This window comes from Homo sapiens, chromosome 1 (genome assembly GCF_000001405.40).
Source record: "Homo sapiens chromosome 1, GRCh38.p14 Primary Assembly".
Lineage (NCBI taxonomy): Eukaryota > Metazoa > Chordata > Mammalia > Primates > Hominidae > Homo > Homo sapiens.
This window is the reverse complement of record NC_000001.11, coordinates 115,054,268-115,081,174: the sequence shown is the minus strand read 5'-3', so window position 1 is coordinate 115,081,174 and position 26,907 is coordinate 115,054,268. Positions and strand designations below refer to the sequence as shown.

General features: G+C 44.2%; 1 protein-coding gene and 1 long non-coding RNA gene across 5 annotated transcripts in view, besides 1 other annotated feature; one reads left to right on the top strand and one right to left on the bottom strand.

The window, feature by feature from the left end:
- Nucleotides 1-26,907, top strand: part of TSPAN2 (tetraspanin 2) — a 41,493-nt gene that overhangs the window by 8,329 nt on the left and 6,257 nt on the right. For 2 of the 4 annotated variants that reach the window (NM_001308316.2, NM_005725.6), the window contains exons 2-6: nt 8,168-8,270; nt 18,943-19,040; nt 20,637-20,711; nt 22,194-22,292; nt 23,567-23,638. In NM_001308316.2, coding sequence (NP_001295245.1) covers nt 8,168-8,270; nt 18,943-19,040; nt 20,637-20,711; nt 22,194-22,292; nt 23,567-23,638 — 447 coding nt within the window. The remainder of the gene's footprint in view (nt 1-8,167; nt 8,271-18,942; nt 19,041-20,636; nt 20,712-22,193; nt 22,293-23,566; nt 23,639-26,907) is intronic. The other 2 variants (XM_016999996.2, NM_001308315.2) reach the window with 1 other exon arrangement.
- Nucleotides 11,486-12,279, bottom strand: LOC124904359 (uncharacterized). Its single transcript, XR_007066474.1, has 2 exons — nt 12,178-12,279; nt 11,486-11,908 (listed from the first exon to the last, which is right to left on the bottom strand). It is a non-coding gene; the product is annotated as an uncharacterized LOC124904359 (long non-coding RNA).
- Nucleotides 18,320-18,843: an enhancer, noted in NCBI's record as "H3K4me1 hESC enhancer chr1:115604953-115605476 (GRCh37/hg19 assembly coordinates)". NCBI's record gives its function as "activates a minimal SCP1, AML or CMV promoter by ChIP-STARR-seq in primed H9 embryonic stem cells {active_cell/tissue: H9 hESC(primed)}" and the evidence as "EXISTENCE:reporter gene assay evidence [ECO:0000049][PMID:30033119]".

Sequence of the window (26,907 nt, the reverse complement as noted above, 5' to 3'; positions counted from 1 at the left end):
TATAGAGCACCAAGCTAGACTTTCACAATTTCTGCTAGATTCCACCCATGCTAACTTCTTAGTAAACAAATTGTTTTGGCTTTTCTAATCTAGCCTTAGTTCCATTTGAAACATTTTTTTAACCACTGTCATTCTGTAACAACTAAAACTGGATGAAGATCATTATTTATTGATCAATAATTAAGAATTGTTTATCTGCTCCAAAGTAGTTCTCCCAACCACTATAAATAAATATTGTTTAATGTGTTGTCTTTGCTTATGTAAAGCTCTATATAGATGAGATGTCACAGTAGTCATTGTGGCCTCCAAGATAAGTGATTATATATGCAGAGGGCAGGCCTAGGATGAGAGCCAGCTGGATGTTCCAAGGAGGAGGTCCGCTGAACCTAGAAAAGACCATTTTTTTCCTCTCCGGGCTTATCCCCTTGATGAGGTAAGTAAGGCAGACATTGAGTTCAGTTCACTTCTGTGACTTGGTAGACCAGATTTTAGTTCTGTACATATTTGATCTTCATTTGAGAAAGCCATCTGCTCCCTGGAATCCTTAGCCAGTAGTCTATGACATTTCATTTTGCTGTATAGTATAAAGAAGACTACATAGGCTGGGCATGGTGGCTCACACCTGTAATCCCAGCACTTTGGGAGGCTGAGGCAAGAGGATCACTTGTGCCCGGGAGTTCAAGACCAGTCTGGACAACAAAGTAAGGCCCCATCTCTACCAAAAAATAGAAAAAAATAGCTGGATGTGGTTGCACATGCTTGTAGTGGGAGGAGGAGGTGGGAGGATGGATTGAGCCTGGGAGGTCAAGACTGCAGTGAGCTGTGATCAGGCCACTGCACTCCAGCCTGGGCAACAGAGTAAGACCCTATCTCAAAAAAATAAAAAGCAAGAAAACTACACAGCCATCGTCTTTCTCCTAATTCTTGATGTTCCCTAATCTCCTTCTCCTTCTCCCTGTATTGTTAAGAGAAAAGACATTATGTATAATCACCAAATAAACAACACATTTTCCACTGTCTATATGTAAATTATCTGCTCTATCATTTGCAGCAAGCTTTTCATCCCAAGTTAGTTTCCTTCCCCTGAGCTTATATTTCTCCAGCACTTCTAAACTGCCCCCAGCAATGTTGGTTGACCCATGCAAGTTAACTTTATAACAATTTAAACAAACTGAAGGTGCATCTGGCACAAATGTATAGCCCAGTGTTCTTTGCAGAGATGAATGGAACACTCCTGATTTTATTGTGGCCTGAATTGCACCACCCTTCCATCACTGCAGAGAATTAAGCATTGGTCAATTATAAAATATACTCTTACCTGAAGGAAGTTTTTCTTACTGTGAGCTTTTTCTTAGGAAATGGCATGAGGAAAATAATGGGGAGATCAGAAACACTGGTACCTAAAGGAGCTGCCATGCATTTCCAGACTAACACAGCCTTCTCATCGCCACAGGCTGCCACAGTCCTGCCTCTCAGTTCCCACTCACCTGGTCCTGATGAAGGCCAAGGTAGTGAGGTCCTTCGGAGACCATTTGACATAGATGTCATATGGCATTCAATTCTTGTATTTTTTCTGATAAAACCCTTGATTTTGAAGAAATGCCATCTGAATCCTTGACTTGCTTTTACTGCATAACAGAATAAAAATCTTGGGAGCTGGTTTTCCTCTTTGAGAAAATTCAGATCATCTTCCAGAGCAAATGTGCTTCTGACTTTTGCCTGCTAAGAGGGTGAGACTCCATTACCCTTAAGGTATCATAATGGGGTTTACAATCAGATCAATAATCATAAGTGCTCATTATGTGATTCCAATGGGGATGAGAATTGCCACCAAGAGCAAGTATTAGCTTAAAAGCATTTAATGAAAATTCTAGGGTTGAAGCATCATTTCCAATTTTGTGACTTCATCCCAAAGAAGAGAATTGCAAATGAGTTGGTATTCACCCTGGAGAAGCAAGAATACAGAATTGATTTTGTTCATTCTTTCATTTGAGTGCAGCATGCGCGTGTGTGTGTGTGTGTGTGTGTGTGTGTGTGGCGCTATAATTGTATTGTGTTCATATGCCCCTGCCAGTGGAAGGCATGTATACATTGTGTAGATTTACATTGTGTAGATTTATTCTTTGTATCCGTGGATGGTACACAACACACATTCCTGCAGGCTTAGGAAAACACAGAACTGATACTATGTGCTCTACTTTTGTTTTCTGTTTCTGAGGCATGTGTTTTGCTGAGCATATTCAACAGCGTGTTCACACAGTGCCTTCGAAGGTATCTGCAGTGTTTCCCAGGTGCAGATGAGTTTGAAAATAGCACTTTGTGAAGTATTCCCTTGGAGACTTGTGAAGGAGGTTGTTCGCAATTGCTCCTGTCAGCCTGTCTTAATCAGCTCAAGCTGACATTTTAAAAATATAATACCACAGAGTGGGGTGGCTGAAGCAGAAATTTATTTTTCACAGTTCTGGAGACTAGAAGTCAGAGGTCAGGTGCTGGAGGTTGGAAGTCAGGTTGGATTCTGGTGAGGGCTCCCTGGTGAGGGCTTGTGGACAGCTACCTTCTTGCCATGTCTTCATATGGTGGAGAGACAGAAAGCAAGCTCTCTGGTGTCTCTTCTTATAAGGGCACTAGTCCCTCATGATGGCCCCACCCTCATGACCTCATTTAAACCTAGTTACCTCCCAAAGCCCCAACCCCACATATCCTCACACTGGGAATTAGGCCTCAACCTGTGAATTTTGCAGGTTGGAGGGATACAATTCAGTCTATAGCATCTTTGTGAAGGTCCTCCATTCACTCATTTAGCAAATGTCTATTGGGAGCCCACTCTGCAGGGCAGAGGGGATTATGTTTGGGAAACAGCAATATAGACCCTGTCCCTGCCCTCACAGAGCTTAGGCCTTAATTTACAAAATATGGGCATATTTAAGTAGAAAACATTATGTGAGATATAAAAGAAGGTACCTATCTAGGTCATGGTAGGCTTCCCTGAGGAATTAATGTTAGAGCTGTGAATGGGTGTCAGCTAGGGGGAGGCGGAGGAGGGAACAGCAAGAACAGAGACCTCCACAGGGGCAGGAAGGATCTGAAACTGTAGCTGGAGCATCTGAGGGCCAGGACCTGTGTTTCCCACTTAGGTATCAGTGCACATGCTGTCTAGAACTTCCCTAAATGATGCTTTTTACCCCCAAAGGGGGCTTTTTTGCTGGACTTAGTCACTAGAAAGTGGATAGCAGGTATTTGCTCTTGGTGATCTGGTTGGCTAACCTCCAGGAAAAGGAGGACAGCTGGGCAGACTGGGGAGGCCAGAATGAGGAATGATCTCTGCATTCTTGCATCTCAGCACCACCCCACTCCAACCGCAGCGCCTGCCTAGGGACCATGTTTGCAATTTGTGAAACCTGTCTTTTTTTAAAATGAAAAAATATGTCCTCAAGATAGGACATCTCATCAGCAATCCCAGGAAATGGAAGTAAGTACAGTAAAATAAAATTGAAATCTATTAGCAAGCTCTGCTTCATGCACGATGACTTTTTTTTGGCAGATAGCCATTATTAAAGAAAACTTTTTGTCCATCCACTTTGCTTTAAATGCTTTCTAATCAAGTTTTCAGTCCTTCTTCTGTTTCTTGAGTTTTAGAACACACATTGTTTTCACTAAAGACATATGCTTACAATTTGCAATTTCGTGTCCTCCAAACTCTCTGGAATATGGTTAGCTACTGAAAGAACTTGCCCAAGACAATACGTACTATAACCATATGTGATGATCCCCTATTTAATGACTTGGAATTATTGTCACTATCTATTCCTTTCCCTGCATTCTTATCTTCTTTTTTTTTTTTTAAGTATTTTTCTTGTCCTCTTTTTAACAGTTGGCACACTCTTGCCCTTAAATACTATTTTATCACATTCTCTGAGTACCTCACATACAACCGGTCCTCAGAAAAGGAATGATGAGGCTGGGCACGGTGGCTCATACTTGTAATCCTAGTACTTTGAGAGGCTGAGGTGAGCAGATCACTTGAGTCCAGGAGTTCGAGACTAGCTTAGGCAACATGGTAAAACCCCATCTCTACAAAAAATACAAAAATTAGCTAGTGTGATGGTGTGTGCCTGTATTCCCAGCTACTTGGAGGGCTGAGGTGGTGGATCGCTAGAGCCCGGGAAGTTGAGGCTGCAGTGAGCTGTGATGGCACCACTGTACTCCAGCCTGGGTGACAGAGTGAGACCTTGTCAAAAAAAAAAAAAGGGAGGGAGGACTCAAAAAATGGTGCTTTCTGGCAATTTCTCATGTGCATTCTGGTGGGCTGCCTCTGGATTGACTTCCCACCTGCAGGGTTGGATTCCCTCCTGGGCCACCCAGTGGGGATTAGCGTCTCCTTGAGCCCCAGAAGAAGGACTGGACTTTCCTCATCTCTGAAACCTTGGCTTCTGACTCATAGTAGTTGCTCAATAAGTGTATTTTAAAGGATTAACATCAAAGTCCAACTTTTGCTTCTGTATGAAAAAGTCCATTTCCAGAAAAACAACAATGTTTCTAGTTGTAATTGTTCCAAAGGCACAGGGATTGGCGCTGGTCCTGGAAGCAGGGCAGCCCTCAGCAAAGTTCTTCAATGAGTACAGTGAGTTCGTAGTTCTCACAGCTCTCCACGTCCACTCCCCTGGTGTCCTGTCCCTGGTCCTCAGCCATTCAAGCCTTTCCCTTTGGCTCCCTGCTATGTCTGACCTCCAGGTAACATTCATGCTCCTGATGGTTTCCATCAAAGTGTGGGCTTCTGTCCCTCCTCCCCTCAGGCAGACCTTGCTATGGGCTTTCCAAGATGGTAGCAAACAAAGTAGAAGCCGAGTCATGGTCTGTCCCACACCCTCTCAAGCCCCAACCTCCGACCTCCCCCAGACTCTCCTTAACAAACACAGCATCGAGGTAAGGAAATGAACCTCTGTACTACCATCTCTGCCTGGAATTCGCCTCTGCTGCCAGTCGTTCCTTGCCCAGTGACTTCTCACTCATTCTTCAAGATGTAAATTAAAATTTAATGATTCCTCCTGCATGCCAGTGGCTACAGTTTGCTCCAATCCCTTGGCAGTGTGCATGCTGTTCCTCTTCAGCACACTTCCTGCATTATAGTGCACTTAGTACTTTATGTGACTATCTACCACATTAGACTATGAACCATGTCTTTTTCATCATCGTTTCCCTGACACTGAGCACAGTACCTGGCCTGGACTGTAGTTTATTCTTAATAAACATGCAAGGAAGAAAGACAGGGAAGGGAGATGTGGCTGGGGGCAGAAGAAGGAAAGGTTAAAAAAAAAATGGTAGCCTCCCATTTCTTATTTGTTTTAACATTGGCTGAGGTGCAATGTTATGTCTGAATGCAAGAGGGGTTGAGACTAAAGGGAGAAGAGAGAATGTGGGCGTGAGGCAGTTTTGGCCTCATCGGGTTAAAATTTAGGATTAGAGAGTTTGAAGACTTCCTTCAGGTCTTTGGGGAGACCATTTCCTCCAGCTCTATGGAATACAGGGAATGTTGAGAACTTAGTGACACTGACATGCTCACTTTGTTCCTGACTGGACTGGAACTGGTGTGAATTTTTTTCAAGCAATTTCTAGTCTGTGATCAAAGCCCAGTGAACACAGAGCATTCCATGAATCTTAAAGGAATGGCGAGTTAAAAAGGACCAAAGTGCTGTGTGGTCTGTGCCGATGCCACTTTCCAGAGCAGTGATCGCCCTGTCTCTTGTCACAAGCAGCATCAACCCTGGCCGGGTCCTTACCCACAGCATCCCTGACACAGCCGGCAGCAGCCTGCTGGGAGGATTCCCTTCCACACAGTGATGACATTCAGCTAAGCCACAGTTTCCTTGACCCAGGAGGAAACCCGTGTGGTTGGGGGTTAGGGGCATGGATGAGCAAGCGCAGATTTTTTCCCATTGCCCAATGGCTTTAAATTGCAACCTCTCTTTTAATTTTCCATTATGCATCAAACACATCTGTGCCAGAACTGGACAAATGTATTCTGTCTGGGAGGATAATCCCAGACAGCTATAAATTAGAGTTTGTGTACAGAGATTCCAAAAATGTGGCCTCGTGGTGGGGTGTCCCTGGGACCAGTCACCTCCTCCACAGTCTGCTCGGTGGCTGCTGGCTTTGGCCTGATGCCTCTGTCAATAGGTCTTGCTTTGTATTTGGAAACTCTGTCTTTCCATTGAGTCGCCACAGAGATGAGGGCGTGCAGGGTTGCCTGTGAGGCTTTGCTGGGCAGACTTGTCCCAGGCAGCCTCCAGATGCTTCTAGGAGGAACCTAGGTGATTGACCAAGGGCATTGCTCTCTTTCCTACACAGGAACAGCAAGGACCTCAAAGCTGGTGTCCTCCCAAGTTAAAGCATGGCCCAAGAAGACTCTCCCCACTTTTTCTGGATTGCACATAGAAACTACCGTGTAACACTTTAAAAATGTATTTTTAAAGTTACAAGAGAAATACATGCTTAATGCAGAGAACTTAGAAAATATACTGAGAAGGAAAAAAGTCACCTGGAATCCTGTCCTTCATAAATAATGTTTTAGCAAAACTCCTTTCAATATGTTTCCATGACATGCCACCCTTTTTTTAAATGCAGACGTCTTTCAGAAGCTGATTGATCCCGGGTCCTTTAGCTGCCCCTCACATTATCCAATTAGTGCTTTCCTCTAAGTACTGGAAACTTTTAGTTACTCCACAAGGGAGAGTCCAGCTGGTAGAATTCTGCCCCTCTGACTCCTCCTCACTGAGGTCGCACCTCTTTTCTGAAGAAGCTGGCCACAAAGGGGATTGGCCTTGGGAGATAGAAGGAGAAGAGGGATAAAGTCCTCATAGAAATCCAGCCAGATCGTCCAGAAGGCTAGTTCCGGGTCCTTTATAAGCTGCCTGGCAAGACAGAAGTCCCCTGTATAAAAAGGACTATGCTGTCTCTGGTGCGATTTTTCCTTTTAGACCTCTGCTTCTCTGATTTCCATCCTCCATGCTCCTGTTCCCAGCGTCTGTGTGTGCTCTGCTCTGTTTGGGCAGGGGAAGCCTCTAAATTGTTCATTTAGTGGTAGACTAGGGCAGCCCAACAGCAACTGGATGGGCTAGCAGAATTAGGAGGCTATTTTTATATCTCTGCTTACTTTCCCATGGTGCCCTGGGCCCAGAAGGTGTCCAGTAAATATCTGTTGATGGATTGATACAGTGAAATTCGAGAGTGGTGTTTGTGGAGAGAAAACACCGTGGCTAGAGCCTGCTGGCACGCAGCAATGACAGTCCTGAGATGGCAGAAAGGGCTTCCAACTTCCAAGCTGAGCCTCACAAAAGCCTTCAGAGTAGGGAAGGAAAGGAAGCCGGGTGATGACTCTACCAGCCGCCAGCCTGCCTAGCCACTGCCTGTGCCAGCCACTCAGCCTCTCCATGAGCCACACAGCACACAGACCACGCTTTTTCAGAAAATTATTTTTTCCTTTCTCACTTTCCATGGAAACTCAAAATAGCAACCAAAAAAAAAAAAGACTAGGCTATCTCCCTACCAGCAAAACCATCCCCAGTCAGGGCAGTGACCATATAGGATGGTGGAGAGGGTTACAAATGCCCCTAAAACCGCTTTCTATTTGGGGACTGTGCACTCACGAGGTGTGGGTGGGTTCTGAGGTTGAGGTTGCTGTATTTTCTTCCCATTCAGAAAAGTGGGTTTCCCCCAGGTCTTGGAGTTCATCGTGCTCTTGGTGACCTGGCAGCTGAGACATAGTCACCTCTCGTTGTGGTGTGGGTGAAGAGATCCAACATGCCCAGCAAGGGACAAAAAGGCAGGGGCAGATGCCTTCCAGAGGGAATGTTATTGGAACATTGCTTTTGAGACACCTCCCTGGCTGTGCTGTGTGTGCCCCATAACCACAGGGCAGCCTGGCATCATGGAAAAACCCTGCTTTCAGAATCAGAAAAACCCAGTCCAATGTCACATCAGGGGCCTGAGGGGCTTCGTGCACATCACTTCACCTCTCTGAGCCTTCATTTTCTCCCCTATAAAATGGGAAGGTGGTCTAAGTGATTTCCAAAGGGGTGACCTTGTCAGCATCCTGTGCCTAGAGCCTGCTCTCGGATCTGTGCATGCTCTTTCCCCTTCCACTGTAAACACAGTGTCGTTTGCCTTCCAGCTGGCTGGATCGGCCGTCATTGCTTTTGGACTATGGTTTCGGTTCGGAGGTGCCATAAAGGAGTTATCATCAGAGGACAAGTCCCCAGAGTATTTCTATGTGGGTGAGTGACTCCAGCTTCCTAAGCTCCAGCTCAGAGTAGATGGGGCTGTGCAAAGACTTAGAGCAGAAGCTGCACTTGAACTTTGGTGGGAGGGGGAGGGCAGAGAGGCAGGGAAAGACGCTGAAAGGAGCCACCTCTGAGCCCCTGTGCACTGGTGTAGCCCTCCGAGTTGTCTGCTGGAGACAGGTAGAGAGGCTGTGGTGACCCCTTCCCCTTGCCCTCACACGGTCTGTTCCTCCGCTCTCCAAAATCAAGGGAGTCTGGGGCTGGTAAGAGCAGCCTGTTGTGCTTTGTTTCAAGGAAAGAAGTCTCAAGGAAATGCAGCTAAAATTTATTTCAAAGAATGAGAAAACTCCCTATTGCCCCTGGAGTAAAGTGGGTACACCACAAGTGTGTCATTCACTAGTCTATATGGGGTGACACGGGACCCCTGTAGGATTTTATTTTGTGATCTTATATTTTAAATTGTCTAGGAAAAAACATAACTCAAAATACAGGTTTGAAGGTGCTAATCTCAGTCTCTCCATGACTAGGGACTGCAGAGTGGAGGGGAGGAGAGAGAAGAATGAGGGAGAGGAGGGATGGAGGGAGAGGAGATGAGAGGGACTCCCCTGGGAAGAGGTTCCAGCAGGAAGGGGCAATAGCTCTGACCCCACCTCTGTAGGAAGGGGTGAGGAGTGTGGGGTGGGGTGCAGCCTCCACCCGCAAGGCAGTGTTCTTAGTAGGGGCTGAGCATTGTTGCCCTGGGATTAGTTGACCTAATTCTAGCATTTCCTGTGACCTTTCCTCATTCCCCAGCTAAGTGGACTAAGACTCTAGATTTCAAAAAGCCCAAGACAATTGTCATTAAAGGTGGCACCCCCATATACTGGCTGTTTTAGGATCTGCACCAGCCATAGAGTAAGCTTCAGTTGCTGTGGTGACCTCTATGGCAGGGAGGAAGAGCATCCTGCACAGGTCATTTGCTCTAAATCACAAGAAGAGTAGAGTCTCTTCCATGAGAGAGAGAGCGCAGGCCCCACTCAGAGCAGGGACATCCTCCCGAAGGGCCAGCCTGCAGCTGTGCTACCTCTTATTACAAACACTCTTCCCACACAGCATCCTCCTGCGAGGAAAAGAGCTGTGTCAGTTAGGATACTTTTAGAGGAGAGTAGCAGAAAACCTACTAAAGATGGATAACAATAAGGACATTCCACATTTCAGGAAATCTTAGATGTGGCTCTTTGTAAAACACTCAATTATTTTAGGTTCCATTAAGAAAGGAAAAAATGCTACCAGTTTAGCTTAGCTATGACATACCATAAAAGATGCATTCTAATTTCAGCATTGTTAAAATATACCAAAAAATAAATCATCTCAACAGTGATGAAATATAGTAAAAGAAGTCTGGAGATGGGGACTTTCCAGAATTCGTTCAGAGCTGAACAAAGTCATCAAAGGCCCAGGTTCTTTCCCCCTCTCTGCTGTCTTCAGTGTCCTTAGACATCTCCCCTTAAAAGATAGCTGCAGTGGCTCCAGGCATCGTATTCTCGTACAGCAACATCCAAAAGAGAACAAAGCAAATTTCGCTTCATAGGGTCCCTTTTTTGAATGAGTAAAACCTTTTTCAGAATCTCCCAACACATTTCCCCTTGCAGCTTATTAGTCAAAATTGCATTCTGTATTCATGCCTAAACCAATCATGGCCAAGAAGCGAATTACTATGATTGGATCTCTGACTAATTGATATTCACACCCTCACACCCTCCCCTGGGCCTGGGGAGGGGCCTGGGCTCCCCATAGGACCTGTGACACTTGGACAAGATTGGGATTTTGTGACAAGGAAAAAGCAGAGGAATCTGCCGTAGACATAAAACTGAAATGCTCCTTTCTACCCACATGGTTTCCAGGAAGTATGCACAGGGCAAGGACATTTGAGACAAAAAAATATAACCTATCAGTATAACCTAAATATAATCCATTGGCCAGCATTCACAGTCCTGGGCTCTGCTGTCACACAAAAATGTATAAGAATTCTGTAACCGCCCCCATGTAACTTGTAATATAAATGAAAAGACTCATAGACTTCACAATTTAAATTACAATAAAAATTAGTATGTGACTAAATGCCAGCTAAGTGGTATTTGCAGTGGGTGCATTAGAGGTCATTCTAAACTGGTAAGGAAAGAAGGATTTAAGTTAGGTTTTAAAGACCAGGCTGTAATCAATGGAGAAGAGGAAAAATGGGGACTAGAAAGGCTGAGGGGAAGGCATGCACAAAGAATGGCTGTGGGGAGGGATTAGCAAGCTGGGAGGGGCTGGGGGCTCTGTTGGGGTCTGAGGACTAGGGCATGGTGGGCAGTAGGATTTGGAATGTTGGGGAGGGAAAGGGGACAAGTATAGAGGCCTTTGAATGTCAGGGTTAAGTTGGTAAACAGTAGAAGAATGATTTGGGGCCGGGGGTAGGGTATGATCTGCACTGTACTTTAAAGAGATTATTATGGCAGAAGTAGAATGAAAGGGGAATCCCAGGACAGAAAAAAAAAAAAAAGCAGATTATTGATATAATCAGGCCGGACAAATTAGGGTATAACCCACAGTGATTGCAGAAGGAATTAAGAAGAAAGAAACAGAAAGATAAGAAACATTATTAAACATTTTTAAGCCTGCCTAATCAAACTCAGGGACAGAAGAAATCAAAATGGCAAAAGAGGTAGTGAGAGGCAGAGTCAAGCCTCTCAGTAATAATTCATGACTTTCTGATGGAAACCTGAGTTACAGGTCTAAGTAAGGGGCCCCCGCTCCATCAGAGGGAGGGGCCGTTGCGTGGCGCTACAGATGGAAGACCTCCCCGGGAGCAACCTCAGTCTGTGTTTCTCCAGAAACAAAGGGCTGATAACCATTTCACAGCTCTAGATGTCAGTTCCACATAAAAACCTTTATGATTAGATACATCAAAAGGTTGAATAGACTTCCATAGATGAAAGTGAGCTCTCCTTCATGTCATATTTAACCACTATCGTGGCAAGAATCAGAATTGTGTGTTTCATTCAGGAGATTCCTGTGTTGAGCCAGAGGCTGAACTGGCTCTACACCCACATTCCTGATTTTGTTTCTAATCTAAACCAAACAATACACACACTGCCTGAGATATGAGGAATTCTTCATTATGTCATATCTTTATGGACATGTCTATCAGGACTCTTCGTATTGCAAATCACAGACACCTACTCAAATTGACTAAAGCAACACAGACCTTTATTGACTTACATACTTGAAAGGTCAAGGGTTAATACTGGTCTCAGGGACTCAGATGATGTGACCAGAGTCCAGTCTGGAGCCATCTCTTGGCCCTGCTTTCCTTTGGCTCCATTCTTAAGCAGGTTTCTTCTCCATGTGATAAAACGGCCGTCAGTGGCTCTAGGCTCCACTTCCAGAGTGACTCCAGAAGTAGAACATGCTTTTTTCATTCCAACAGATGCATGTAATGCCCCAGGCCTAACTCTCGTTGGCAGTATTGGACCTCGTGCCCATCCTCGAACTTGTCATTGTGGACAGCTGCTTGTGGGCATATGCCTGGGCTTCATGCCCACCGTGGAGCTGGAGGTGAGTCAGCCCTCTCAAACCACATGGGCTGAGAATGGAGGAGTTCCCTTTACCTAATAGAGAAAAAGAAGTGGATTCTGGGCAGGGAAAACAGCAGGCCACAGCAGGGCCTGAATCCTCCTGCTTGCTCTTGGTGTCACAGGGCATGATATGGGTTTACCCACCTTTCGTTCCTCGTCCACCCCATCTCCCTTTCCTAAGGCAGCCCAGAGTGGTTGGTGGTAAAGGCACTCACGATCCATGCTCAAAGTTCAGAGAAGTGGGTCATCATAGAAACTTAGCACCACGCAGAATAAGGAAACTACAGGCTGTGGATAAACACCTGGGGCTGGCAGTCAGCCAGGGCTTCCCAGCTCCTCCTGGTGGGGCTTGGCCTGGAACCCAGGTTTGCTGACAGCCAGGTCCGTGCTTGCCCTGTCTCCCGGTGCTGCCTCTCTGGATAGTGGCAACAAGAAGTCCTTGTGAAGTCAGGTACCTTTTTTCCCTTTCAAGTATGTCTTATAATATAAATAGAAAGACAATAGACATGTTTGTAGAAATTGACATTTTTTCCTCAGTAAATAATTTTCCACATAAGATACCTGCTCTCCAGCAACAAAACAAGAAGAAAAATACACTAGGATGCTGTTTATGGATTTGCACAACATACAGTATGAGGTGATAGCACTTTAGGAAACAAACAGGCCCAGTGTTTGGAAAATCTCACTCCACTGTCACAGGGCACCATTCACTGATCTGGGTATTTCCTTTTCAGAATAGGTTCCAGATAAATCAGCCCATTAAACTCTTATCACCCCTTTGTTAAAGAGTGTCCTAAACAGGCATGGCACATTCAAATGGTTCTTAAAGAAATAAGCCCTTCCAGCCTTGACTCTCCTCTCTGAGAGGAACCCCAGGAAGACACACTTGTCTAGGTCCCTGCTTCGGGGTAGATGACTGCCAGACTTTGTAAGGGAAATTGTCCCATCTTCTGGGGGAAGCTTTCCTTTCTGGCATCCTTGGTTCTCTTTCCTTGGGGATGGAGCGAGTTTCCCTTCCTGTGATAAAGATCAGACATAACCTCCAAGCCAGAGGTGTGGTCAATCCCAGGGCAGGGCAGGAGGATCCAGCTGTGGGAAATGAGGACAGGGCGAGAGGATAGTCAGACTGACTGCCACCTGTGTCTCTTCTCAGGGCCCTCTGCATCCAGGCCAAGGCCTGGAGGCCCTTCCAAAGTCTCTGTGTCCACTGGTTGCTAAGGGTAGAAGAGAGGACCTGGCAGGAGTGACGCTGGCAGAGGAGGGCTTGGGTTGCTCCGTGTTGCCTAGACCTTGTCCACGCTAGTCTCTTTCAGGGCACTCTTGGGAGAAGCCCCCGTGTCTTCCAAATTCCAGCAACCTGCCCATCTGACTTCCTGTTACAGTCCCTCTCTGGAGTGGGCAGACACCCCAGGGGTCTTCTTTCTAGAGTTACAGAGTAGGGAGCGAGCCCCTCAGCCCTTGGAAAACTGGAGAGACTGTGTGCTTGGTGCATGAAGTCATGTCTGTGAGCAGAGGATATTAACAGGTTTTCTCCAAGAAGGGGTTGCCCACACACGCAGGAGCCACTCGGCTCTCCAGGATCGCAGCCTGACTGCAGCTGTCTCTCCCTGTGGAACTCAGAGTCTCCAAGCCTGGCTCTGATTGTGGCTGGATGTTATGTATAAGGAAAGCATTCCAGTGCCGAACACCAAGGGGGTGGCTTGGCTTGTTAAAAACTCTGACTCACGCTGGTCATATTTTTTTACTTGGTTTTCACTTGTACCTGACATCCATGGTAGCTGTATACCAGAGAGGTGTTGTAGCTTACATTGTTGAGACAATTTCTCCAGAGCATTTTTATAAGAAGTTGGAATAGACAATCATTTCCATATTGCAGCTAACGAAACTGAAGGGTAGGAAGACTTACCTCAAGCCATAGTTGGCAGGCCTGGATTTCTGGCTCCCAGCCCTGTACTTTCAGAGGAAAAACCAGGAATCATCAATTCTAGACATCTCAAGTACTTTTCTCAAGGGAGAAGAAAAATAACTCTACTGCCATTTATAAATTGCAAAATGAACCAATTTCTAGCTAAGAGCATTGTTGTTCTTCACAGTTACTGCTAAAACGAAAGCATAGGGGTTCAGGGACTGCACTTTGGAGTAGGCTCCCCTAGGTTCAGTTCCAATTTTTCCCCTCACAAGCTATGCAATCTTACATAAATTATTTAATTTCTTGGTGTCTCAGATTCTTCAGCTGTGAAATATGAACATATTTAAGCATAGTATCTGTTCTGTGGTGAGCCCTCAGTAAATATTGGCTATTGTTATTACAGATCGAGCATCCCTAATCTGAAAATCCAAAATCCAAAATTCCCCCACATCCAAAACCTTTTGAGCACTATCCTGACTCTCAAAGGAAATGCTCATTGGATAATTTCAGATTTGGGATTTTCGGATTAGGAATGCTCAACCAGTGTAATGCAAACATTCCAAAATGTGAAAACATCCTAAATCTGAAACACTTGCCCTTCCCAAAAACTAAGTTGCATTCAATATTCTAGATATTTGCATTATTATATGCATTCAGGGGATACTGAAGGGACATAAATGTAGGGACATAAAAAAATTTCAAATAAAAAAATGGTCATTAGCAGATTATGTAAAACCATCTGCTGCTAGAAAGCCATTAAAATTGATGACCACGTCCAGTCCCTAAAAGGGGGGAACCACATTTTTAAGTGAGTTTATCCCAGTAGGCCGTTAGGAGGTTCTCTCTCATTTTTATGTTAACTAAAATGATGTTTCTAGCTTAAAAGAAGACTCTGAAACCTAAGAAAAGAGTGATGGAATTGCCTGGGAACATGTTCCATATCTTACCCCAGCTAGAATGACTATTATCAAAGGGAGAAAGAATAGCAAATGCTGGCAAGGATCTGGAGAAAGGGGAAGCCTCGTACACTATTGGTGGGAATATAAAGTAGTACAGCCACTATGGAGAACAGTATGGCAGTTCCTCAAAAAATAAATATAGAGCTATCATCCAGCATTCCCACTGCTGGGTATATATCCAAAAGAAAGGAAATCAGTAAATCAAAGAGACATCTGCACTCCCATGTTTATTGCAGCACTTTTCATAATAGCCAACATATGGAGTCAACCTAAGTGTCCATCAGCAGATGGATGGATGAAGAAAATGTGGTACATATACACAATGGAATATTACTCAGCCATAAAAAGAAAGAAATCCTGTCATTTGTAGCAGCATGGATGGAACTAGAGGCCATTGTGTTAAGTGAAACAAGCCAAGCACAGGAAGAGCAGATATCACATGATCTCACTCATGTGGGAACTGAATAAGTGGATCTCATGGAGGCCGAGGGTAGACTGATGGTTACTGGAGGCCGCAGAGTGTAGGGGGTTGGGGAGATAAAGAGAAGCTGCTTAATGGGTACAAAAATACAGTTAAATAGAAGGAAGAAATTCTTGTATTCTATAGAACAGTAGGAAAATTATATTTAGCAATAATTTTTATATATTTCAAAGTAGCTAGGTGAGAAGAATTGTAACTTCCCAACACAAAGATAAATGTTTGAGGTGATGGATATCTCAGTGACACTGATTTGATCCTTACACATTGTATACATGCATTGAAATAGCATATGTACCCCCAAAATGTGTACAACTATTATGTATCAGTAAGATATTAATAAATAATTTTAAATACTTTTTAAATTTTTAAAAATGAAGGTGTCCCAGGGAAAGTACTTGTGGTAGCATGTCACAGAGATCACTGGCATCCCAAAGGCCAGCTATTCATGATGAAAATGTAATTTCAAAATGTTTTCTATTTTTCAAATCAAAGGCAATAGGACTCGGAAAGCATGAGGGCTTTGGGAAGTAGGTCGTATGTTTGTCACACCTGCTCCTGTGGGAAGGAGAAGGCTCTACAGTAACCATCTTGGAATTTAAAATGTGGCTGTAAATTAATTATTACATTCAGCAGCTATTTTTTGAGGGTCAGACCATAAGAAGGATAAAGTATCCTTGGAAGCCACAGGTGGCCTTATGGCATGCGGAGTATTAGAGCCAGATTTGGAACTGGATCCGGCACGCCCAGGGAACCTTTCCTCTTGTAGAATTTCTTCTGCTTTTCCCTTCAGCTTCAGCAAGCAATGTTCATTTGGAGCTGGGCTGAGTCACGGGCCCACACATACAAAACAGAGGCTGGCTGAGAAGTGGCCTCAAAGTTGAAGCTGCTAGGGCAGCTTCAGGTTGTTTTTGCCGTGAGCTCTGGGATTCTGATAGCCTAAGAATGAAATATTGTTCAAAAAAGCACACTTTCCTGAAAAGCTCATTATTTCAGAAGGATAAGGATTGTTGCCTGAGGGAGCAGACAGTTTCATTTACAGTGGGGAACAACTCTGGCCTCCTCAAACCTCTGTGCCCCTGTCCAGTGAGCCTCCTGCCTCCTCACGAGCCTCCCTCTTTCACATATTCCAGGGTGTCTCGGGGTGCGAAGCAACCATCCTCATGTGCTTGGCTTTGGAGAGCACAGCTATGTAGTTGCTTTGTGGATGTTTGCTGAGACCTGTTTCCAGCATATATCTCTAAGCAAAGATGGGTGATGACAGCCAGCAAGCCTGGAACTGATTTGATTTTCTCTGTCTTATCTACTAATCCAATGCACACTGACTAAGAATTCTGCCTTGTGCAGGGCATGTTCTAGAGAGGATGAATAAGGTTTGTCAACTTGAAATCTATAATGAGAGACTAATATGAGAACCTGCAAAAGCACAAAATGGAAAAGAGCAGGACACAGCCAGATCATGGTGAATTCCCAGGTGGCTGGAGCATAGGATGGATAAAGATTTTGGGGGAAACTGTTCTGTAGGCTGTGACTTCATGATAGATCTGCAAACGGCATCATGTAGCAATTGTGGCAGTAGCAATGAGAGGCAATGGGCATGTTCTGCAGCAAGGGGGTCCACCAGGAGACATTCCATGAAGGAACTGAATATGGTGTTGTTGCTGCCGCCCTGCATTCAGCTCGCTTCTGTGGGGTGGTCAAATAGAAGTGTGGGATGGGAATTGGGGCTGCAGGCCAGGGCATCCTGCCTACAGCCATCTTGACTCTCAGACCTCCATTTGTAAAACAGAAATAATAGTCCTTGCTTACCTAACCACGTTGTTTTGAGAAGCCAATAAGATGATGGAAGTGAGAGCTTTGAAAACATTGCAACACAGTGAATGACTTTTTTTTTTCTTTTTCAACTTTCATTTTAGAATCAGGGGGTACATGGGCAGGTTTGTTACAAAGGTACATTGAGTGATGCCGAGATTGGGGGTATGACTGAACCTGTCACTGAGGTAATGAATATAGTATCCAATAGTTAGTTTTTCAACACCTGTGCCCCTCTAGTAGTCCCCAGTATCTATCATTCCCATCTTTATGTCCATGTGTACCCAATATTTAGCTCCTACTTATAAGTGAGAACATGCGGTATTTGATGTTCTGTTCCTGTGATAGTTTGCTTAGGATAATGGCCTCCAGCTGCATTCATGTTGCTGCAAAGGGCATGATTTTGTTCTTTTTTATGGCTGCATAGTATTCCATGGTGTATATGTACCACATTTTCTTTATCCTATCTACCATTGATGGGCACCTGGGTTGATTCCATACCTTTGCCGTTGTGAATAGTGCTGCAGTGAACATGTACCCTTTTGACAGAATGACTTATTTTCCTTTAGGTATTTACCCAGCAATGGGATTGCCGGGTCGAGTGGTAGTTCAACTCAGTTGTTTGAGTCATCTCCAAACTGCCTTCTGCAGTGGCTGTACTGATTTACATTCGCAACATTGTATAAAGTGTCCCCTTTACTCCCAGCCTTGCCAACATCTGTTATTTTTGACTTTTTAACAAAAGCCATTCTGACTGGTATGAGATGGTATCTCATTGTGGTTTTGATTTGCATTTCTCTGATGATTAGAGATGACGAGCATTATTTCATGTTTGTTGCTCGCTTGCATGTCTTCTTTGGAGAATTGTCTGTTTATGTCTTTTGCCCACTTTTTAATGGAGTTATTTGCCTTTTGCTTGTTGATTTGTTTAAGTTCCTTACAGATTCTGGATATTAGACCTTTGGTGAAAGACATTTTTAAAACAATAAAGTGTTGAGGTAGTGGGGCCAACAACACTATTATTTTTAATATGATATCATTTCTCACATTACCACATCCATTCCCTCATGAAATTATTCTTTTAGAGAAAAGGGAAAGGGAGGAGGTGGTAGAGCTAGAACAGCAGGAAATAAATACCCACCTCAGGACTGCAGAGCAGCAAGGCCTCAGGGCCCTGAAAAGAACGCTGAGGCCAGGTCCGGGTGGGGCAGGAAGCAGAGCAGCCTCGCCTGTGGCTCCTACTAGGTCTGTAAACTGCCAGATCTGCCCGCAAACCACCATCAGCAACCCAGAGGCGCCCCAGGAAGCACCCTGAATGCCAGGCCCAGGGGTTCCCCACAGAGGCGGGGCACCAGCCCCCACCCTCCCTATTAATGGGAGTGGTTTCCAGGTGACTCATATGAGTAAAATGCAAAAAATGAAATAGAGACCATTAACATGATTCCAAGTAAGACAAGTGCCAAGTCCCATATTGTATTCTAACTTATCTCAGGATCAGAGAAGGAAATACAAAAAGGCTTGGCTTTAGTTCTCTCAGAACCAGAGCATTTCTGTCCTTTTCTTTCTCTGTAAGAACTGTACGTGGGGCTTGCCTAAGCAGTAAGTGAAATCCCCACCTGAATGATGGCTGCCTCCATCACTAGAGATGCAAGACAGAGTCGGAGTGTTGGGCAGGCTTTTGAGGCTCATGGCTATTTTTCTCCCGGCTCTGCCAAACACCAGCTCTATGACCTTAAGCAAATCGCTTTACCTTTTGGGGCCCAGTTCCTCCGTGTCAAACATGGCAGTAAGAATAGCACCTCCTTTTGGTACTATTAGAATGCTCTGCAGTGCCCAGAGTCTTAAGCCTAGTTGGTCGTGGAGGCACTCGGTTGGCTCTCAGTGGTCTCCTCTGACCTCTTCCCCACAGGGCTGTATGTTCTGGTTGGAGCCGGGGCCCTGATGATGGCCGTGGGGTTCTTCGGGTGCTGCGGAGCCATGCGGGAGTCGCAATGTGTGCTTGGATCAGTAAGTGGGGCGAGGGGGTAAATGGTGGGGTGGGGGTGAGGGAGCGGCCTGCATCTGAAGGGAGTCAGTGCCTCTGGCCCCTGGCTCCAGCTCCTCCGTGGACTCTCTGAGCCCTTGGCATGCACTTTTCCTCCCTCAGTCTTGGTTTCTCCATCTCTTATATATGAATAATACTAACTAGGGCCGGGTGCCATGACTCACGCCTGTAATCCCAGCACTTTGGGAGGCTGAGGCAGGAGGATCTCTGGAGCCCAGGAGTTTAAGACTAGCTTGGGCAACACAGGGAGACCTAGTCTCTACCGGGTGTGATGGCACACACCTGTGGTCCCAGCTACTCAGGAGGCTGAGGCAGGAGGATCACTTAAGACCAGGAGTTGGGAGGCTGCAGTGAGCCATGACTGTACCACTGCACTCCAACCTGGGCGACAGAGCAAAACCTTGTCTTGAAAAAAGAAAAAAGAAAAAAAATATTATCTTTGTTCCTGCCTTATATGGGAAGTGTGAAAAGAAATGACGTCATTGGTGTAAAGATGTTTTGGGAGTAAAAGTACTTAGTAATTGTAAGGGGTGACTATGATTGTTCTTTAAAAAAAAATATTTCACAGTGGGTGAGGCAGCTAAAAGGTTTCTATAGCCAGGGAAGTGCTGTTATCTACAAGGAAAACATTTATGTTTGAGATCAATAACTTAACCAAAATCCCTCTTGTGGCTTATTTTAACAAGCAACCTCTGTTTAAAACAAAAATCAAATAATTTCAATTAACTGCTATACATTCTATGTCAGTGTAGCCTGAGAGAAACAGAAAGGAAGAAGAGGGGCAGGAGGAGAGAAAGTGTTGATATTTCTCCACAGGGAGTCAGAAACAGCAGTTTTAATAGGCAGCCTCTCATCTCTCATTACTTATTGTGATATTTGGATTTTTAACTCTGGCCGTAGCCTCTGATCTCTTGCTATGTGAAATGTCTGACTTATTTCTTTGCCATTCATTCCTTCTCTTTCTCCTACTGTTGAGCACATTTCTGTCTTGTTTATCACTGAACTTAGTTTGATCAGAGCAAATCCATAGACCAGAACAGAAATCCATCCAGAAGGACACCCCTCACCTCATCTCCTCAAAGAAGCCTTTCCAGACCACAGAATCTCCAGTCACCCCCTTCCCCATGCCCAGGCCGCATCAGTGATGCTCCCTCTCCTGACCTTATTTTATATCTTTCTAGGTCTTTTGTGTTCGTCAAGTATTTACTAAGCACGTAGGTGCCAGGTGGTGTTCTAGGTGGTGGGATTTTTACATCACTACCTGAACTTATCTTATTCACTTTTTAACTTCTTTACACAGTTATCGTATATTCCTCTGTCCAATCCAAGGTCCGTGATAACAGAGACATTTGGATATTATCTTGTTCACCACTGAATAGTCAGCACCAAGGACAGTACCTGGTGCAGAATAAATGCCTAATAAACAATTGCTGAATGAATGAATGAATGAATGAACCACATGAAAGCGATTCAGCCATTACATAAGGAAACTAAGGTGCAAAATATATAAATTGAAAAGGTATTAAATTAATGAAATTAGTATTTTCTCTCCTCTACAGTTTTTTACCTGCCTCCTGGTGATATTTGCTGCTGAAGTAACCACTGGAGTATTTGCTTTTATAGGCAAGGGGGTAGTAAGTAAAATTACTTATAATGTTTTTCTATGATGGTTAAAAGTGTTAGAATATTGATACCCACAATAGTGTTAAGAAACCAAATAATCCCCATTATTATAGTTTAAACAGAACTTTTTAACTTAGAAGTGGTGTGCAGAACTGAGCATATATGTATATGAGTGTGCAGGCATATATACATGCTCACATTTTTCTGGGGAGATAGTTCATCTCTTCCATTAGACTTATGAAGTGGTCTATAATAAAACCAAAAAAAAAAGGATCTCTAATTTAAGATTCTTCCCCATTGTGAAATGGGGTAACAGTTAGAGTACAGACTTGAGAAAGAATCTAGATTCTCATCCCCTGTCAGACTGCCATTTGTCCTTAAGGATTGGCCTGGATGGGTCCATTTCATTCTCAAAGAGCAGAGCCTACACTGCTGTGGGCTAGTGAAGCCAGTTTATATTTGCTGCCCAACTCTAGGTGTCCAGAATAGGTTATCGGGGGGACACACAGAGGAAGTAGCCTTTCTTCCTCTGTAAAACACACTGTGGGATAGAAGAGAATGGAATGGAAAAGGAGGAAGAATGGAAACTTAAGTTTGGTGTATTTCACATTAACTCTTGTGTCATTAATATTATGTTTCTGAACTTATTTTAGACTATAAAACAGTAAACATGTAGAATAGTAAATGTCACCTCCTTTTGAATTTTTCTAAAGTAACTGGCTGTGTTCATAGGTTAGTTTAAATTCAGCTACATACAGAAGTAGAATGGAATCTTAGGACCTGTTGAGATATCTGTGGATTTGAAATCACAAGCTTTTATACTAGAAAAAGCATTCTCTAAGCTTTATATGATATCTGAATGTAGAAAGTTTTCCTTGGTGATGAATACCTTTTAAACCACGTCATAAAAAGATTTGAATGCTTTTAACCAATGGGGTAACAGGAATGTATAAGTCCGGATCCTAGCTATGCATCCAAATCATCTGGATGGAGCCCAGGAATCTGGGGCCCAGTTGATGCTGAAGCCCAGTTGGGCTTGGGAACTGTCAGAAATCTTTCTAGTCCATGAAAACTGTTCTGGTTAGTCTGTCCTTCCATCCTCAAAAGCATCTTAGAAACTCCAGAAACTATAATCTTCTCCATATGTTGCTGAATTATCCTAAAATACCTATGGAAAGGCAGTATTTTTTTTTATTTCTACAGGTTTTGTGGGGAACAGGTGGTGTTTGGTTACATGAGTAAGTTCTCTAGTGGGGATTTCTGAGATTTTGGTGCACCCATCACCCGAGCAGTGTACACTGTACCCAATGTGCAGTCTTTTATCCCTCACCTCACTCCTACCCTTTCCCCTGAGTCCCCAAAGTCCATTGTATCATTCTTATGAGAAAGGCAGTGTTTTTCAAAGGTGTGGAAGAGGAGATTTTCCTTGATGAAAGGAGAATGTTTGAAACTTCCCACCCAGAAGTCCTTCATTTTTCCTTGTATTTCTTCAGGCTATCCGACATGTTCAGACCATGTATGAAGAGGCTTACAATGATTACCTTAAAGACAGGGGAAAAGGCAATGGGACACTCATCACCTTCCACTCAACAGTGAGTAACTTCACTTCTTCCTTAAAATCACAGCTTCTAAAGATTATGTGTGAGCCAGGTTCTCACCAATCACCAGGATTAAAAATAAAAATAAATTCAGTAAAGCCAAGTAGCACCACCTATTTTAGCCCTTTTGAGGGCCACAGTTTGCATTATGTGTGGAACCCTAGAAGGGAAAGATGTCTATCACACAGAGTTCACAAGAGAGACAGAAGAGCATGAACCCAAAAGACACATGCCCCAAAGAGACAAAAGAGCACAAACAAGGTTACAGAGAAAGGAGCCCAGATAAATAGCAGGCTTTGTCAGAGGGTAGCATTGTGGTGTAACAGAAACAAGTGTGACCTGTAAGTCAGAAAAGCTAATTTCTAGCTGCAGCTCTACCATTCAACAGCCTTGTGACCTTGAGCAAGTTACTTGGCCTCCCTGATACCCACGCAGCTCCCTCATTTGTAGAATGAAGGGTCACAGGAGATGGCTACACTCCCTTCTGGAACATTCAGTGGGACTGTGCTGTCCGTGGAGTGCTCAGAGCTACATGCAGTTAATCACAGAAGGCTTACAGAGGAGATGGGCCAGGCCAGAGTTATTCTGATTTTTTAGACACTGTGATATGAAGAAGTAGCTGTGAATTCCTGGGCCAGGTGTTTTCAGGTACCTAGTTCTTGTCTAGGACAAGTATGTCTTGGAAAGTGGCCACCATTTATACATTTATACGGTTTCACCTCAGCTGCCGCCAGGACCTGAAGCAGCACACAGGTTCTTTTGTCTTAAAGGGCCAGCTAGCCTAAGCAGGACACCTGTTTGCTGGCCAATCTTCAAATCTGGTCTTTTGGACCCTGGAATTTCCTGCAGCCACTTCTCCCCTCTTCCCCAGACTATTCCCAGCTAATGAGTCCTTCTGCAGCTCATAAAACTTGAGCTCCTCAGCAGGTTAAATGACTCCCAGTCTGAAAGAAGGAATCTAAAGCCCCAACCCCTTTCTAAAAAGTAGCAATTTACACAGACACTGTCAATTAGCTTCTTGCCTTGTTTGGGTTGCCTTGAGTCACTTCCCATCATAAACTCAGATGGCTTTAGCGAAGTCATTTTCTTGTTTTGCCAGCATGATTATGTGATTCTTCACTCTCCTTCCAGAAATAGCAGTCTGGGTTGCAGTGACTGGGCCTCGGAGCTGCTTTGCCGCCTCGGCACCCCAGTCCTTAGCAGGGTGCCCAGACTTGTAGCTGCTACTCCTCCCGCCTGGTCCTGAAGTCTCTTTTCTGACTCTCTAGTTTCAGTGCTGTGGAAAAGAAAGCTCCGAACAGGTCCAACCTACATGCCCAAAGGAGCTTCTAGGACACAAGGTAAGCTTCTACCAAGGTTCTTACTCTACCTGTAGTATCATGCTGCTAGCTTAGGAAGCCATTGAAGGTAGAATCTCGGATGGGATCTGCATTTTACTGAATTTGCTCTAGTGGCAGCATAGAGGATTGATGGAAAATGAATAGCGTTGAGCTGAGAGACCCATTGGGAAGGCTGCTGTCCTTGTTGTTAGCAAGAGATGTTAAAGAGGGCCCTTTAGAAAGTGACAACTACAGGAGTGGTGACCAGAGAAGAGAGGAGAATCCATTACTGGGTTTTTGGCTTCACCACCTACATAGATGATGGTGTCATTTATGGAGCTGAGGGAGAGAGGAAAAGGAGCCAATTGTGGAGAAAAGAAAATGAGCTTTGTGTTTAACATGGTGATTTTGAGGAGCCAGTGGCACTTCCAAATGGAAATATCCAGTAGGCAGTTGGAAAATCTGGTTTGTGGCTCAGGAGAGAGGTCTGAGTGTCAGCACTTGATGGGAAACTTAAAGCTATAAATACGGATTTGATCCATTAGACTTGGAAGAAAAGAAGGATGAGGATAGATCCTTGGGGGACAATTTAAGGGTGGGCAAAAGAAGAGATGCCAAAGAAGGAAACTGGGAGGGGCGGCCAGACACAAGTGAGGAGACAGCACGGGAAGGGGAGGGAATGGTCACCAGGCCCAGGTGCTGCTGTTGAGGGCAATTCAGTATTGATCAGCTGCCTACCTTATGTTCGGCACTGTGGATGCAAAGGAGAAGGAGAAAAAGTTCCTACTCACAAGGAGCTTGCATTGCAGTCTGATAGGAGGGATGAACATGAAGTCCATACGGTCCAGTGATTAGGAATGCATGGAATGTGCAACGTGCTCGGAAAGCACAGAGGGAAACGCACTTAGGAGAGGCGAGAGGCTGGGGGATGGGGAAGGCTGACAGAGGTAATGATGTCTCAGCTAAATCTTCAAGAATGGAAAGTAATTATGCAAGCATTGGGCAGAAAGCGGGAGGGGGAGGCCTGCGTGCCGAGAGACCAGCGTAAGCAACAACACAGAGGCAGAAATGACATGGTTTGTGTGGGGAACTGAAAGCCTAAGAAGGTCTACTAATAACTGCTGAAAAGCTGGCAGGATTTAGCATGCAAGGAACCAACTGGTGACGTGCTGTGAGGGATGGATTGAGGACAGAGCCCAGGTTTCAGAGAGCGAGATGTGAGGAGAGAGAGCATCCTTTCAAGAAGTTTCGATTTGAGCCAAGGACACAGAAAGAAAGTTTACAAAAGTCAAAGTCCAAATTACCATTAAACATATAGAAAATATAGAAAATTAAAAGTAATATTTAAAATCAATAGCAAATTAAAATGAAGAGATGCTGTTGTTTAATCTATGAAATTGACCAAGTGTTTTTCCTTTCCCTTAACAATAATACACAGTTTTGGTAAACGTGATGTCGTGAGCATTTTCAGAGAAATTAGTAAATAGTTTTAAAGGTCAGTATGACTATGTAAGACTAGAGGATTAAGTATGTTTATGCCCTTCTATCCAGAAATTCCACTTCTCGGAGTTTATTCTAAGGAAAAGGAATCAGAAATGCAGACAGACGTTTTTGTGCAAATCATGCTCATTACATGTTATTCATAAGAACAAAACACTGGACAGACCCTTAATATGTGGCAATAGGGGATTGTTTGGATAAATTGTAGTATATTCATATGATGAAATGTTTTACCACCATTAAGAATCATGATTTCACCTGTAATCCTAGCACTTAGGGAGGCAGAGGCAGGCAGATTGCCTGAGCTCAGGAGTTTAAGACCACCCTGGGCAACATGGTGAAATCCCGTCTACTAAAAATACAAAAATTAGCCAGGCGTGGTGGCATGTGCCTGTGATCCCAGCTACTCAGAAAGCTGAGGCAGGAGAATCACTTGAACCTGGGAGGCAGAGGTTGCAGTGAGCCGAGATCGCGCCACTGCACTACAGCCTGGGTGAGAGAGCGAGACTCTGTCTCCAAAAAAAAAAATAATCATCATAATCATGATTTCAAAGAAATTTTTAGTGAAACAAGGCATTTTTAAAGTTGTAATATTAAGTTTAAAAAGCTCACTGTTGAATATAAAGAATGACCTAAGGGTGTAGGTGTGTTTGTGTGTGTAAGTATCACCAACAAATTTATTACCTTTTATGGTGAGAATACAGACATTTCTTTTTAAAAAAAAAAAAATCTCTTTTCCAGATTTCTACAAGAAGCATGTATTCCTTTTGTGACTAAAGCCAATATACCTTTTGTACATTTGTTTTTTACAAAAAGAAGCTGGCAATGAAGGGAAGGAGGGCCTAATGGCAGAACTAGAGGAGGACAGTCTCGAGTGTTGTTTTGTTTGTTTTGATTGAAGAACTGAGCATGGTGATAGGATAAGTAGAAATGTCAATGGATAAGGAGAGGCTGAATGTATAGGAAGGAAAAAAAGTAACTGGCAGTGCAGGCTTCCTGAGGAGCTGAAAGACCCAAAGCAGGATATGAAGTTAACTGTCTTTTATTATTATTTATTTATTTATTTATTTTGAGACAGAGTCTCACTCTGTTGCCCAGGCTGGAGTGTAGTGGCATGATCTCGGCTCACTGCAACCTCCACCTCCCAGGTTCAAGTGATCCTCCTGCCTCAGCCCCGCTAGTAGCTGGGATTACAGGTAGGTGCCACCATGCCCGGCTAATTTTTTTATTTTCAGTAGAGACGGGGTTTCACCATGTTGGCCAGGCTGGTCTCGATCTCCTGACCTTAGGTGATCCACGCATCTCGGCCTCCCAAGTGCTGGGATTACAGGCTTGAGCCACCGCGCCCAGCCATGAGGTTAACTTTCAACAGAGAAGGGCACCTCTTTGGCTCTGATCAGAGAAAAAGGAGTCAGGAGTGTGCTTGCTACCTACAGCAATGCCTGGCACTGAAGGAAGGGAGCATCTAAGTGTATAGGAGAAGGAGAGGAAGAGTGAAAGAATTGCTATAGGTTGACTCTCATTTTTTCCACTAAGTAAGGGAGCCACTCCTTAGAAGAGTAGTTTTCAAACTTTTGTCAGAATGCATTATAGGTATCTCTTGTGGATCTGTGTCCTCTAAACTGTGAATTCCCAGAAAGCAGGAGAAACCATATCCTATTGTCTCTGCATCTACCACCCCTCTTCCAGTGACTAATGCAAGGTAGATGCTCAAGAAATGTTTGTTGAATGAATGAAGTGTGATAGGAAATACGAAGAGAGAAGTAAGGGTTTTATATAGCTCAGATGGT